The sequence below is a fragment of the Homo sapiens genome, chromosome 6 (genome assembly GCF_000001405.40).
Source record: "Homo sapiens chromosome 6, GRCh38.p14 Primary Assembly".
NCBI lineage: Eukaryota > Metazoa > Chordata > Mammalia > Primates > Hominidae > Homo > Homo sapiens.
This window is the reverse complement of record NC_000006.12, coordinates 168225036-168239809: the sequence shown is the minus strand read 5'-3', so window position 1 is coordinate 168239809 and position 14774 is coordinate 168225036. Positions and strand designations below refer to the sequence as shown.

At 49.1% G+C, this 14774-nt stretch overlaps 2 long non-coding RNA genes across 2 annotated transcripts, besides 1 other annotated feature; both read left to right on the top strand.

Annotated features, from left to right (window-relative positions):
- Positions 1-8433: 8433 nt before the first annotated feature.
- LOC124901501 (uncharacterized) lies at positions 8434-11117 on the top strand. The gene is made up of 2 exons (XR_007059934.1): positions 8434-10423; positions 10542-11117. It is a non-coding gene; the product is annotated as an uncharacterized LOC124901501 (long non-coding RNA).
- Positions 8718-9219: an enhancer, noted in NCBI's record as "H3K4me1 hESC enhancer chr6:168631271-168631772 (GRCh37/hg19 assembly coordinates)". NCBI's record gives its function as "activates a minimal SCP1, AML or CMV promoter by ChIP-STARR-seq in primed H9 embryonic stem cells {active_cell/tissue: H9 hESC(primed)}" and the evidence as "EXISTENCE:reporter gene assay evidence [ECO:0000049][PMID:30033119]".
- A 2175-nt stretch (positions 11118-13292) lies between the features above and the next one.
- Positions 13293-14531, top strand: LOC105378137 (uncharacterized). Its single transcript, NR_134590.1, has 2 exons — positions 13293-13501; positions 14286-14531. It is a non-coding gene; the product is annotated as an uncharacterized LOC105378137 (long non-coding RNA).
- Positions 14532-14774: the final 243 nt, after the last annotated feature.

The following is a 14774-nucleotide window of genomic DNA, read 5'->3' as shown; positions in this document are numbered from 1 at the left end:
TCCATGGTGATTTAAAAACCAGTTGACCAGCAATGCAGTACTCCATTTGGTGGTGTCAGCCCTTGGGTGGGCTGACCGCAGGCCTCTCTGCTGACCACAGATCCTCGGTTCTTATCACAGACCCTCCCCAGTCCACAGGCCCCTCTGCTGACCACAGGCCCCTGGCTCTTCAGGGCCCTGCCTCAGGCCAGTAACTCAGTGCTCTCCTTTCTCTGCCACACGGGCCGAGGGCAGGATGACTCACTCTCCCCTCGGCCTGCAGGCCGCTGAGGCCTGGAGAAGGTGGCTGGGAGCCCACGCTGACCCTTTCAAGTCGGCCCAGACTTCACAGCCTGCTGCCAGCCGGGCCTGCAGGTGGGAGCAGGGCTGCCCTGACCAGCCTTCCCCTCAGCCCCTGCCCCGGTGATTTCCTCTCACTGGGGCAGCCCGGCCCTGCCTTCTCCCCTGTGTCTCTGTCCCTTCCTTTCCCAGTGACTCTCTGGAATGTGAAGGGTGGGCTTCCCTGCCCAGCCCCTCTCTCCTTACTGCCAGCAGCTCCATGATAGGGACCTCACAGCCTTTCCACCGAGCTGGCATCGATGCTGACACAGGCGGTGAAATCATCGCGTGTTCTCTCTCTCAGGCTTCCCTGCCTCGCATCGTTGCATTTACCTGGCTTGTGTGTCGGAAGGGACTGTCCACTCTGTCTCTTTGCATTTACCTGGCTTGCGTGTCGGAAGGGACTGTCCACTCTGTCTCTTTGCATTCTTTTGTAATGATCTTCATCCCACCAAGGCTGCTATTTGCTAAGTAGGTTGTATATAGAAAATGCAAAATAGAAATGCTCATTAATATTTCTAAAAAATATCAGCCTTGTCATAAAAAGTAGAGAAGAAATAGGACCTGTCCCCGAGTCTCAAGGCTCCCTATGCAGTAGGTGGAGAGGGTTGTGGGGTTGACCCCTGGGGCCTTGGAAGGGACTTCGCCCTCACTCCCTCATCTCAACAGCGCACCACACATTTCTTTCTATGGAGCAAAGTTTTATTCCAGTAAGAGATAAAACACAAATGCCCCAGGGAGACACAATGCAACATTTAAATACATCCTAAAATGCTTCTTTTTATCAACCGCAAGATGTAGTTTTGACTCATTCTGGGAAATACTCAGACTTGGCATTTCAGAGAGTTTCCGAGAAGACGCTGCGTGTGTATAAAAGATACAATTCCCTTTATAAACCCTTCACCTCCCGCCAGTGTTTCTGTTTCTAATGCTAAGTACACCTTTGCTGTTCAGATTTTAAAGCCTAATTCAGCCTACGGACTTTATGAAAGCAATGTTGTTTATATGATTCAGTCCTTCAAGCATGGAAATGGTTCCACATTGGTAAGAATTCACTAAAATTTCCATAAAAAATCTCCACCCAGAGCCATGCCAAGTTATTAGACACTGATGGTAAATTCTGAGTAAGTCAGGCCTGTTGGCATCAGCCACAGGGTGTCAGGTTGTGACTCGTCCTAGTAAACACACTTGCGTTTCAAAGATTAGGCTTTGCTGGATTTTAGTGAAATTAACATGCGTGTAAAGCTGATTATTTTTGCAGGGATGATTCCATAGGCTCAACCCCCAAACAGGTCAAAGGGAAAAAATAAACCAAAGGAGAAAATGAGACTTCAACCCTCTCCACACAGAGAATCAGTTGTATAAACTCATTCAGTTCCTCAACTATCCTGATACTTGAAACCAATACACATTCTGTCTAAAAGAAGACAGAAATTTGGAAAAATCAAGTCATTCATCTAGATGCTGTTTGTAAAATCTCCAACTCCTGGAATTGTTGCTCCTCCTCCCCTTGTTATCACACCGTGCTCCTCCTCCCCTAGTTATCACATGAGCTCCTCCTCCCCTAGTTATCACATGTGCTCCTCCTCCCCTGGTTATCACACCGTGCTCCTCCTCCCCTAGTTATCACATGTGCTCCTCCTCCCCTAGTTATCACATGTGCTCCTCCTCCCCTAGTTATCACACCGTGCTCCTCCTCCCCTAGTTATCACACTGTGCTCCTCCTCCCCTGGTTATCACACCGTGCTCCTCCTCCCCTAGTTATCACATGTGCTCCTCCTCCCCTAGTTATCACATGTGCTCCTCTTCCCCTGGTTATCACACCGTTCTCCTCCTCCCCTAGTTATCACATGTGCTCCTCCTCCCCTAGTTATCACACCGTGCTCCTCCTCCCCTAGTTATCACATGTGCTCCTCCTCCCCTAGTTATCACACCATGCTCCTCCTCCCCTAGTTATCACATGTGCTCCTCCTCCCCTAGTTATCACACCGTGCTCCTCCTCCCCTAGTTATCACATGTGCTCCTCCTCCCCTAGTTATCACACGGTGCTCCTCCTCCCCTAGTTATCACACCATGCTCCTCCTCCCCTGGTTATCACATGTGCTCCTCCTCCCCTAGTTATCACACCGTGCTCCTCCTCCCCTAGTTATCACATGTGCTCCTCCTCCCCTAGTTATCACACCGTGCTCCTCCTCCCCTAGTTATCACATGTGCTCCTCCTCCCCTGGTTATCACACCGTGCTCCTCCTCCCCTAGTTATCACACCGTGCTCCTCCTCCCCTAGTTATCACATGTGCTCCTCCTCCCCTAGTTATCACACCGTGCTCCTCCTCCCCTAGTTATCACACGGTGCTCCTCCTCCCCTAGTTATCACACTGTGCTCCTCCTCCCCTAGTTATCACATGTGCTCCTCCTCCCCTAGTTATCACATGTGCTCCTCTTCCCCTGGTTATCACACCGTTCTCCTCCTCCCCTAGTTATCACATGTGCTCCTCCTCCCCTAGTTATCACATGTGCTCCTCCTCCCCTACTTATCACACCGTGCTCCTCCTCCCCTAGTTATCACACCGTGCTCCTCCTCCCCTAGTTATCACATGTGCTCCTCCTCCCCTAGTTATCACATGTGCTCCTCCTCCCCTAGTTATCACATGTGCTCCTCCTACCCTAGTTATCACATGTGCTCCTCCTCCCCTAGTTATCACACCATGCTCCTCCTCCCCTAGTTATCACATGTGCTCCTCCTCCCCTAGTTATCACATGTGCTCCTCCTCCCCTGGTTATCACATGTGCTCCTCCTCCCCTAGTTATCACACCATGCTCCTCCTCCCCTAGTTATCACATGTGCTCCTCCTCCCCTAGTTATCACACCGCGCTCCTCCTCCCCTAGTTATCACACCGTGCTCCTCCTCCCCTAGTTATCACATGTGCTCCTCCTCCCCTTGTTATCACATGTGCTCCTCCTCCCCTAGTTATCACACCATGCTCCTCCTCCCCTAGTTATCACATGTGCTCCTCCTCCCCTAGTTATCACACCGTGCTCCTCCTCCCCTAGTTACCACATGTGCTCCTCCTCCCCTAGTTATCACACGGTGCTCCTCCTCCCCTAGTTATCACACTGTGCTCCTCCTCCCCTGGTTATCACATGTGCTCCTCCTCCCCTAGTTATCACATGTGCTCCTCCTCCCCTAGTTATCACATGTGCTCCTCCTCCCCTAGTTATCACATGTGCTCCTCCTCCCCTAGTTATCACATGTGCTCCTCCTCCCCTAGTTATCACACCGTGCTCCTCCTCCCCTGGTTATCACATGTGCTCCTCCTCCCCTAGTTATCACACCGTGCTCCTCCTCCCCTAGTTATCACACAGTGCTCCTCCTCCCCTAGTTATCACACGGTGCTCCTCCTCCCCTAGTTATCACACTGTGCTCCTCCTCCCCTGGTTATCACATGTGCTCCTCCTCCCCTAGTTATCACATGTGCTCCTCCTCCCCTAGTTATCACATGTGCTCCTCCTCCCCTAGTTATCACACCGTGCTCCTCCTCCCCTAGTTATCACATGTGCTCCTCCTCCCCTAGTTATCACACCGTGCTCCTCCTCCCCTGGTTATCACATGTGCTCCTCCTCCCCTAGTTATCACATGTGCTCCTCCTCCCCTAGTTATCACACCGTGCTCCTCCTCCCCTAGTTATCACACCATGCTCCTCCTCCCCTAGTTATCACATGTGCTCCTCCTCCCCTAGTTATCACACCATGCTCCTCCTCCCCTAGTTATCACATGTGCTCCTCCTCCCCTAGTTATCACACCGTGCTCCTCCTCCCCTAGTTATCACATGTGCTCCTCCTCCCCTAGTTATCACACCGTGCTCCTCCTCCCCTAGTTATCACATGTGCTCCTCCTCCCCTAGTTATCACATGTGCTCCTCCTCCCCTAGTTATCACACCGTGCTCCTCCTCCCCTGGTTATCACATGTGCTCCTCCTCCCCTAGTTATCACATGTGCTCCTCCTCCCCTAGTTATCACACCGTGCTCCTCCTCCCCTAGTTATCACATGTGCTCCTCCTCCCCTAGTTATCACACCGTGCTCCTCCTCCCCTAGTTATCACATGTGCTCCTCCTCCCCTAGTTATCACATGTGCTCCTCCTCCCCTAGTTATCACATGTGCTCCTCCTCCCCTAGTTATCACATGTGCTCCTCCTCCCCTAGTTATCACATGTGCTCCTCCTCCCCTAGTTATCACATGTGCTCCTCCTCCCCTAGTTATCACATGTGCTCCTCCTCCCCGAGTTATCACATGTGCTCCTCCTCCCCTCGTTATCACATGTGCTCCTCCTCCCCTCGTTATCACATGTGCTCCTCCTCCCCTAGTTATCACACCGTGCTCCTCCTCCCCTGGTTATCATATGTGCTCCTCCTCCCCTAGTTATCACACCGTGCTCCTCCTCCCCTAGTTATCACACCATGCTCCTCCTCCCCTAGTTATCACACCGTGCTCCTCCTCCCCTGGTTATCAAATGTGCTCCTCCTCCCCTAGTTATCACATGTGCTCCTCCTCCCCTAGTTATCACACCGTGCTCCTCCTCCTCTAGTTATCACACCGTGCTCCTCCTCCCCTAGTTATCACATGTGCTCCTCCTCCCCTAGTTATCACACCGTTCTCCTCCTCCCCTAGTTATCACACCGTGCTCCTCCTCCCCTAGTTATCACATGTGCTCCTCCTCCCCTAGTTATCACACCGTGCTCCTCCTCCCCTAGTTATCACATGTGCTCCTCCTCCCCTAGTTATCACATGTGCTCCTCCTCCCCTAGTTATCACATGTGCTCCTCCTCCCCTCGTTATCACATGTGCTCCTCCTCCCCTAGTTATCACACCGTGCTCCTCCTCCCCTGGTTATCACATGTGCTCCTCCTCCCCTAGTTATCACATGTGCTCATCCTCCCCTAGTTATCACATGTGCTCCTCCTCCCCTAGTTATCACACCGTGCTCCTCCTCCCCTAGTTATCACACCGTGCTCCTCCTCCCCTAGTTATCACATGTGCTCCTCCTCCCCTAGTTATCACACCGTGCTCATCCTCCCCTGGTTATCACATGTGCTCCTCCTCCCCTAGTTATCACACTGTGCTCCTCCTCCCCTAGTTATCACACCGTGCTCTTCCTCCCCTAGTTATCACACCGTGCTCATCCTCCCCTAGTTATCACACCGTGCTCCTCCTCCCCTAGTTATCACATGTGCTCCTCCTCCCCTAGTTATCACACCGTGCTCCTCCTCCCGTAGGTATCACATGTGCTCCTCCTCCCCTAGTTATCACACCGTGCTCCTCCTCCCCCAGTTATCAAATGTGCTCCTCCTCCCCTAGTTATCACACCGTGCTCCTCCTCCCGTAGTTATCACATGTGCTCCTCCTCCCCTAGTTATCACACCGTGCTCCTCCTCCCCTAGTTATCACACCGTGCTCATCCTCCCCTAGTTATCGCATGTGCTCCTCCTCCCCTAGTTATCACATGTGCTCCTCCTCCCCTAGTTATCACATGTGCTCCTCCTCCCCTAGTTATCACATGTGCTCCTCCTCCCCTAGTTATCACATGTGCTCCTCCTCCCCTAGTTATCACACCGTGCTCATCCTCCCCTGGTTATCACATGTGCTCCTCCTCCCCTAGTTATCACACTGTGCTCCTCCTCCCCTAGTTATCACACCGTGCTCATCCTCCCCTAGTTGCCATGCTGAAAGCTGGTGTTGGCCAGCAGAGGCCCTCGCATGGGAGCATGTGGAGGTGGCTGTTCTCAGTGCGAAAGAGGAGGAACTGACCTATTCTTCCTTAGGGTACAATTGGAGACAACTAAGGGGGTGGGTGTCCATGCTGTAATTCCCCCAGGGTAGCCCCCCAGGGTCCCCAGGTCTGTCCCATGCAAGAAGGCACTTCTTCCCAAGGGTCCTGCCCCAAGAAGACCTCAGCCCGCTTAGAGAGACGCCTGTCATTGGAACTGAGGACCGAACTGGTTTCCACAGTGAGCTCGTGTGGGTGTTTTCTTATTCCTTACATCTGCCTGCAGTGACAGTGATGTTTTTTACATGCCGGGAAGCTTGGTGAGGGTGAATCCTCAGTGAGAAATACCTTTATCCCAACAGATATTAACATCTTGAAAAGCAGTTGTTTCTCCGCTTACAATAACCTGTGTTTCAAGAGGAGCCTTGAAAGGTGGGGATTTCCACAGAGCTGTGATAATACAGTGATACTTATTTCAGGTATGGAGCCGCGAGGAAATTCGTAGCGAGGATTGTCACTGCACTTGTGCTTGGGTGACAGCGACAGCCTGTGGCACCGTGCGGTTGCCACCTGAAAGTCAAAACGAAGATGACCGTGCCGCAGCCCATGACAGACGCAGCCGGTGTCAGGGGAAGCAGGGGCAGCCCCGGGGAGCCGGTTCTGGTTCTGCCACTTTCTGATGTGTGTCACGCGCTCGCCGCATCTCATCCAGCCTCTCCGTTCCATTGTTAACAAATAATGGAGTTATTATTGCTATTTTAAAATATTTAAAATTTTTCTGTTTTAATTCCTAATATGGTAAAACTTGACATACATAATTTACATATATACATTTTTCTTGGAGAAATCTTTCAAAACCAAACGATTAAATGGGGGTTGGAGCTGAGAGAAGGCTGGGTGTGCTCGCCTCGCTTTGTACCCTGAAGGTCGGGCTGGACGGCCGATTCTCGGCTGAGGAAGTGGTTCTGACAGCATCAGGAGCCTTGGATTCGGGGCCTTGGTGTGTCTCCCGGAGCTGCCTTTGCGGCTGGAAGGGGACAGCCTCTCCTAAGCAACGCTCCTGCAGGAGCTCCCTCAGGCTGTTTTCCCTGCAGGACTTTTGAGCTCAAGGACAAAAGCTGAATTTAAGTAGCAACACCTAATTTACCCATGTATAGGTCTTATTAGAATGCCAGATGAGCTAAGAATCTCCTCTTGTAACTCAATACATTAATGTTAAACCCCTGTATGTTCTGAAATCCAAGATGGCCCGTGAGTATTCCCAAGTAATTCAGAAATTGCAGTTTAAATGCGGACTCTCAAGAGCATTAGAAATTCCTCTCTTGAAGGTACTAAATGCAGATGAACTGGCCTTACGTTTGGGTTGCCTGGGAAAGGAGGAGACAAGGAGAGGAAGACAGGGCATGGGACCTCCAGAAGTGCTGGTTGGCCAGAATTTCACTGCAGCTGTTGCTAGTGGCGGACTTTGGAGCTGGTCAGTGCTATTCACACGACAGCTGCCACCCTTTAGTATTTCCGACGCTGTCCCCTAAACTGATGACTCTTCACTTCTGTTTCTCTTTCATTGATCACAGTTCTCAGATGTCTCACAGAAGTTTTAGTCATTTTGCCTTATAGACCAAAATACCCCACAAACTAAAACTTGAAGAAATGTATTTAAAGCTTAAAACTGCATGAGGGCTTTGGGACCCCTTCACTTCACACCCAGGCTGCAACAGAAGGTTTACCAAACCCTCTTGCCAGGTCCCCGCGCCTGCTATCCACACTGCTGGGGTCCCGAGGCCCCTTCAGGGGGCCCACAGAGGGAAAACTATTTTTATCATAATGCTAAGCCTTTTTTTTTTTTTAACTGTGTAGATATCCTATTGCTGGTGTATAAAGGCAATAGTGGGTGAAACTACTCAATCCCTAACCTGAAACAAGCTGAGTGCCAACCACACAAACAGCTGTGGTCTTCTGCACCACCACCCACCTGCAGGAAAAAGAAAAGCCGTTTTCACCTAACAGTGTCCAGAATCAAGCAGTGAGGCTCATTATTAACTATTTAGCCTCAATCCGTGCAGGCTTGTCTTTTTAATATTCTGCACCATGAAGTGGGAACTGGATGAAGCATTTCTCCACATCGGAGTCACGTGATCACTGTTGTGGGAAAAGCAGAGGCCATCGTTCCAGTTACCTGTTGAACTCGCTGTTTTGGTTATGTTTTTTTCTTTACGTGGAACACAGCTTTTACTTGAAAGAACAACTGATAGACAAACTATGGTATTCAGACCTAGCTAATTAACAGCCTGTTCCTCCAAGGGAAAGAACTAGTAGTATTTGTGGCTCATGATAAAATCTGAGCGTTTGAGAAACGTTAGAATTTTGGGTCACTTTTATTCATCACCTTGAGCTTGACAGTTTTACAATATATAGAGGCTTTTTTGGTGAGATGGGTGGCAATATTAACAACTGTGGTTTTTTTATAGTGTGTAATTTAAGTGTGAAAATAAACAAAGACCAACTCAGTGGGAACACACAGAGGCTGTGTATTCGGGGCTTGCTGTGGTGGGGGCGTCGGTCACCACTGCGAGTGTTCAGCACAGGCTCAACGGCAGGGGTCCGGGGTGTGTGTCCAGCAGAGGCTCAAAGGCAGGGCTCCAGGGTGTGTGTCCAGCAGAGACTCAAAGGCAGGGGTCTGGGGATTTATGATGAGAAAACGGAAGGTCCCAGGTGAGCCCTGCCGGAGGCTGCTGTCTGGGGACACTGGAGGCGAGTAGCTGGAATCGGAACATCCTATGGAACTGGCCAGGGAGTGTATTCAGCTTTCTCTGGTTGGTGCTAAGTGGGAAGCACGGAAACAGTGAAGAAATCTGTTAGTTACTGATCAAGCCCTGCCATCTTGGGTCAGCTGTGGTGGGGTCCTTTTCCCACCTCCTGCAGTCCTGACTCCTGGACAGCAGGCTGGCCTCTGGGGCTGGCGTTTGCAGATATTAGGTTAGGGTCAGTTTTCCTGGGCAGGCTGATGCAGGTGTGGGTCAGAGTTGTGGCTTTTCTGTGGTCTACCCAGCGTCCCTTCGTATATTCAGTCTCTCGGAGACGTCTGCATTTGGAATTTCTGCACGTCTCAGTAAACCGATATTTTCCAAATGGTGAACACATGAAGTTACAAAGTTAGGCCTGGGTAAAAGGCCCATTCAAAGGGCAAGATAGACAAATGAATATTAGTGTAGGAGAGAAGGAAACGTTCACCAATGTGGCTTCGGATTCTACGTGGCCATTAATCATTTTAAAAACTATCACTTTTCAGGTTTTTGTAAAGATTAAAATAAGAATATCCATAATAATCCAAAAAAGTTCTAAAAATATTCTTTTCTCCCCCTACATATATGTATGTACACACACACACACACGTCTGGATTTTCCTCATATATTCCCCAAAACACACCGTAACAGGTGGAAGGCAGAGGCAGCTGGGTGAGTCCAGCTGTCTTCCATTAAAGCCAGACAGAGACTGACACACATGTAGATTAATGCCACTCTTCTCAGTGATTTCTTTTCTCTTTTGAAAAATATAGTTGGTTTTAATAAAAATATGTTAACACATAATGGATTTATTATTGTTATTTTAAAATGAATTAGAATATTTAAAACATTTTCTGTTTTAATTCCTAATATGGTAAATATTGACATATAATTTACATAAATAATTTGGGGTCCTTAATGACTGTTATACCGTAGGGGGCACTGAAACCAAAGTCTGGACCCACTGTGGGTTCCACACAGCCTGAGGTTCTAACCCAGTCATTTTATTTTTCATCTTAGACCAGCATTGCTGAACTTTGGCTGAAAAATTGAGTCATTTAGGAAGATTTTTAGGAAAATGCAAGTACCTAGAGTCTCCTCCCGAAGTTCTTATTCAATTAACCTGTGTTGTGTCCTAGGCACTGATACTTTTTAAAAGCTCCTTGAGTAAATTTTTAGTGGTTAGCCAGGGTTGAGAATCAGTGCCCGAGGCCAGTGTTACTTGAGGTGGGCGCCATGAGCTCGCTGACACCGGAGTCTCTGGAGGGCCCCAGGAGCCTGCGTTGTGAGTAACGCCCCCAGCGAGTCTCATGCGCAGCGGTCTGGGAGCCAGTAAGTTCCGGGCGCAGGTGGTTTGGCAACTGGTGAGTTTCAGGTGCAGGTGGTTTGGGAGCCGGTGAGTCTCAGGCCCAGGCGGTTTGGGAACCGGTGAGTCTCAAATGCAGGCGGTTTGCGAACCGGTGAGTCTCAGGCGCAGGCGGTTTGGGAACCGGTGAGTCTCGGGCCCAGGCGGTTTGGGAACCCCTGAGTCTCAAGTGCAGGCGGTTTGGGAACCGGTGAGTCTCAGGCGCAGGCGGTTTGGGAACTGGTGAGTCTCAGGCTCAGGCAGTTTGGGAACTCTTGGTTCCACGTGAATCCACTCATCCGCTCTGTGCCTCTCACCTGTCAAACAAGTTCCTCATCAGACACAAGCAGCCCAGACGACTTTTCCATCCTGGGAAGAAGCGGGTGAGCCTCCAGGATCCTGCCCAAGATAGGACCCTAGTGCGGAGGCCAGTTGAAGAGGAGCCCTGAGGGAGGGCCTCTGACTTTGATCCAGGTGCCCGGAACAGACCGAAATTACCGGACAGTAGCAACCGCAGAGATGCTCAGATGCAGGGATGTCGGCCAGTGAGGCTCGCCCAGGTGGCCACTCATGATTTTCCCACTTCACAATCATTGCATCTAAGAGCACTTCATGGAAACACTGAAGCCAGGGTGATTACTGTCAGTGTGGTTCCTTGACTTGCCCTCCGCTGTCCACTGCCCTCAGGCCCATGTGACAACCGCAACTGCCGGCGCCCGGGCACACAGCCGACTTAGCGCCGTCCGGAAGCAGAGCACGTGCTTCGTAAAAAATGAAATGACTCTCTGCACTCTGAAATCTTTGAACATGTGCATCTCCTGAGGCTTGGCTGTGGTTTTAACTTCTATATGCCTTAAATTTCCCAACAAACGAATAAAATTATGAATATAAAAATAAATGGAAAAGCGCTAGAAGTGGTCTTCCTGTCTATGTTGTTACAGAAGGGTTTTGAGAATTAAGGTTTGCAAGAGATTTTTAAGGTGAAATGTTGGCAATTAGAGGTCTCTGGGGCAAAAGCAAAGCAAGGGACACGTTCATTGCTTTAACCAAGATCCTAGACAGAATACAGGACTTTGTGATTGGAGCTCTGGTGCTCCTGGATTTAAAAACTAGTCAAGGCTCATAAGATTAGAAGCATCGCGTTAGGGACCAGAGCTACATTAAGAGGGTGGGGCTGGGCTCCCCTCTGCTCATTGCTGGGGCATTTAGGATGCAGCCACGGCCTCGGGACCTTCATGCACTAATTCTGGCGGTAAATTTGTTTTTAAAAAATCATTAAACAAACAGGCAGTCTTCATATTGAAATATTTAACAGGAAATTGTGTCTTGGATGAAGGTAGTATAAACAAAAGTACTTCCTCATCAATTAGATCATCATGAAGCCATCAAGTCAGACTTTTACTCAGTTGGAAGCAGACAGGTGGAGGTCACTGAGAAAGATTGAAGACAGCCAGTGCCTGCCCTCCTCCGGCTTCTGTAATTAAATCCACACCCTGAAGCTAGTTCGGGGTTGTTACTGCTGCTGCCACAATTCAGGTAAGCCAGCTGCTCGGGTCCCGCGCCGTCCTGCGCTGTGTGTGATGCCAGAGAAGGTCTGCGCAGTTGCCCAGTTGTCGGCCCCTGTCTGCCAAGTCAGACGGGCACAGCCGACTTCACCTGTGATTCATTTAAATGTGTGTTTTAAAACATCCCTGTTACTAATTGTACTGGCCAATACGGTAGTTACTACCCGCACGCGGCTATTTAAATGTTAATTAAAATTACATGGAATTCAACATTCAGCTCCTTGGTGTCACTCACTTCATCTCCAGAGCTCCGTAGCCACGTGGGAACAGCAGCTTTGGCATGGGACGGCGCCACGAAGGAACGCGGCCTTCAGTGTGGGCTTCTGTTAGCCTCACTTCCGCAGTGACTCACACAGATTGGGGTTTAATGAATGACTCCAATGATGTAAGGTTGGGGTAGTGACGGCATACTACATATGTGAAGGTGAAAGGTAGAAAAAAATAATAAAATATCATCTAGAATCTGCCACCTCCCCCACCTGGTGATCTTTCTATTAATATATGTGTATTTCCTTTATGGAGACTTTCTTTTTACAAAAAAAAATGAGATCACACACACAATCCTGCCTTTTTCCACTTCACAATATTAGATAATATCTTGCATTTATTAATATCTTGAACTTATCTCCAGAGGCAAGAATCAAGACTTTGTTTCTAAAACTCAGGTGGGAGTGAGTGTGGGGCGTTGTATGGACTGAGAATGAAACAAGAAACTCTGAGGCAGACAGACCCGCATTCGAATCCCTCCCCTGCAGCTACCAGCAGTGGGCCCCTGGCCAAATCACTTTGTATCTCCAAGTGCCGCATTGTGAATGGCAACAGTAAATTTAAGTGATATCACGTAGATGAAGTGGTCCCTCGAAACTCAACAGTTAACATTGTTGGGCAAAGTTGAAAAGGAAAATTAGTGTCTTCAGTTTGGCAGGGAGGATACAATTTCACACTGGGTGGAGCGGCTCTGAATTCCTGCTCCCAAACAATGTGTGCTTTGATGGATTTCTGCGGTGAGTTTTGATGCATTTCTGTGGCGTGTTTTCTTGCTTTCCTTTTAACTGTGCAGGTTGAAACCTGGGTTTCCCAATTGACTCAACTGCTTACAGTGTCTTGTCTATGAAAGTCTATTAAGTTATTCATCTGAACCAAAAAAAGATTGTGTGAACAACAGCAGGGCTTTGCTGGGCAGATAAATAGAAATAAAAACATATAAAGACAAGCAAATGGCTTTTGTGACTAAAGAGCTCACAGGTTCCTAAAACCAGGTACTCGGGACCTCCCTGAGCCATCAGAATAACTCGGATGCTTCAGGCAGGGAAAGTATTGGCCAAACTTTTAATAACCTTTGTTCAGCTTAACTGGGAGAGCTGCCATGGGGCTTCTCCCTCCCTCCCCAGTGCAAGGGGCCATATTCAAGCCCACGCTGGATAATATGGTGCTAGCACACAGCGAAACCAAGCCAGGCTCTGGACATGTTACTGCGACATCAGCCTGCACATCCCCAGGAGCCAGACCGAGGCACAGCCTCAGAGCTCCCCTCCAAGGCTGAACCCTGCATCTGCTCCATCGCCTGCACCATCTCCCTCCTCTCTTCTGGACCTCATAATTTCTTACTTTCCTATGCCTGTAAATGGTTTGCTGTGACCAGAGAAGAAGAAGGAAACACGTTGAAGTCCTTGTCCTGGAAGGCCTGAGTCTGGAAAACTGTCTCAGCAAAGCAAGAGCCAGTGGTGAGATCACTTGGCATTTTCCTAGTTCTCCTCACCGATGTCAGAGTGAATGCAGGTGGTCTGAAGCCTCTTGCACATTCTGTGTGTGTGTATGTATGTGTGATTCTCTACATGTTCAATTGAAAATAACAAAAAAGTACATTATTTTGTTTGTTTTGTATGTAAGGAGTTGAGAACTTCGGAATTTAGAATTCAAACATAAGCCAAAATATGATGGAAAGAAATGCTCTGGGCCAAAAGTCTTACAAGAGAAGGGTAGCAGGAGGTGGAGGAAGAGGAGAAGGAGAAGGAGGGGGAGAAGGAGAAGGAGGGGGAGAAGGAGAAGGAGGGGGAGAAGGAGAAGGAGGGGGAGAAGGAGAAGGAGGGGGAGAAGGAGAAGGAGGAGGGGGAGGAGGAGAAGGAGGAGGAGGGGGAGGAGGAGAAGGAGGAGGAAATTCTTTGCTAAGGCTGCTCAGGGAGGAGTGGGAGGGGTGGGTGAGGTAAGAAGCCGTGAGCAGTATAACATCTAATGCTCATAGCATTTAGCTGTCCAGCCCATTCTGCAGGACAGAGGCTGACAGCTGTTGCACCTGGGTCAGAGTAAGTGCATGCAGATGCTGTGATGGGAACGGCAAGCCTTGCTCCCCTTCCTGAGAGAGGTCACGTCCCAGTCCCAGCACCTTCAACAACAGAAGTGGGGCCTGGTGCTGATGCAATGAAAGGGTGTCACGCTGGGCGGAGGTGTCTATTTGGTAGTTGTGAGTTGCTATAGCAATAACAAACATGTCTGTCTTATTTTGAACAGAAGGGACACACTGCGAAGAGCAGGAATTCTTCCGTCATGATCCACAGTCTCTGTTGGGTTGCAGTAGTCACCGCGATGCTCATAAACTGAGAAAAAATATATATATGTCTTTTTCACTTTATTGGCAAATATTACATAAGTATATAAATTTCACTTTTTACAGCTAAAGGCTGCATAGCCATAACTTCTGAGCAATTTATTAAGGTTGAATAAAATTGATATAAGGAATCATTTTATAAAATAAAATCTTGTGCAAATGTGTATGTTTTTATTTTATAAAGTGCATAGCTAGTAAATCTGCGTCTGCCCCACACATCGCTTTCTCATTCCTTGTTATTCCGGCATTCAAGCACACACACGCACCAACATGCACGTGCACACATGTGCCCAAACACATACACATATTTATGCATGTTCACACATACACGGACGAGTGCACAGCACACCATGCCTCACTACCGGACAATGAGGTTAGGTAGGTCGACCGCA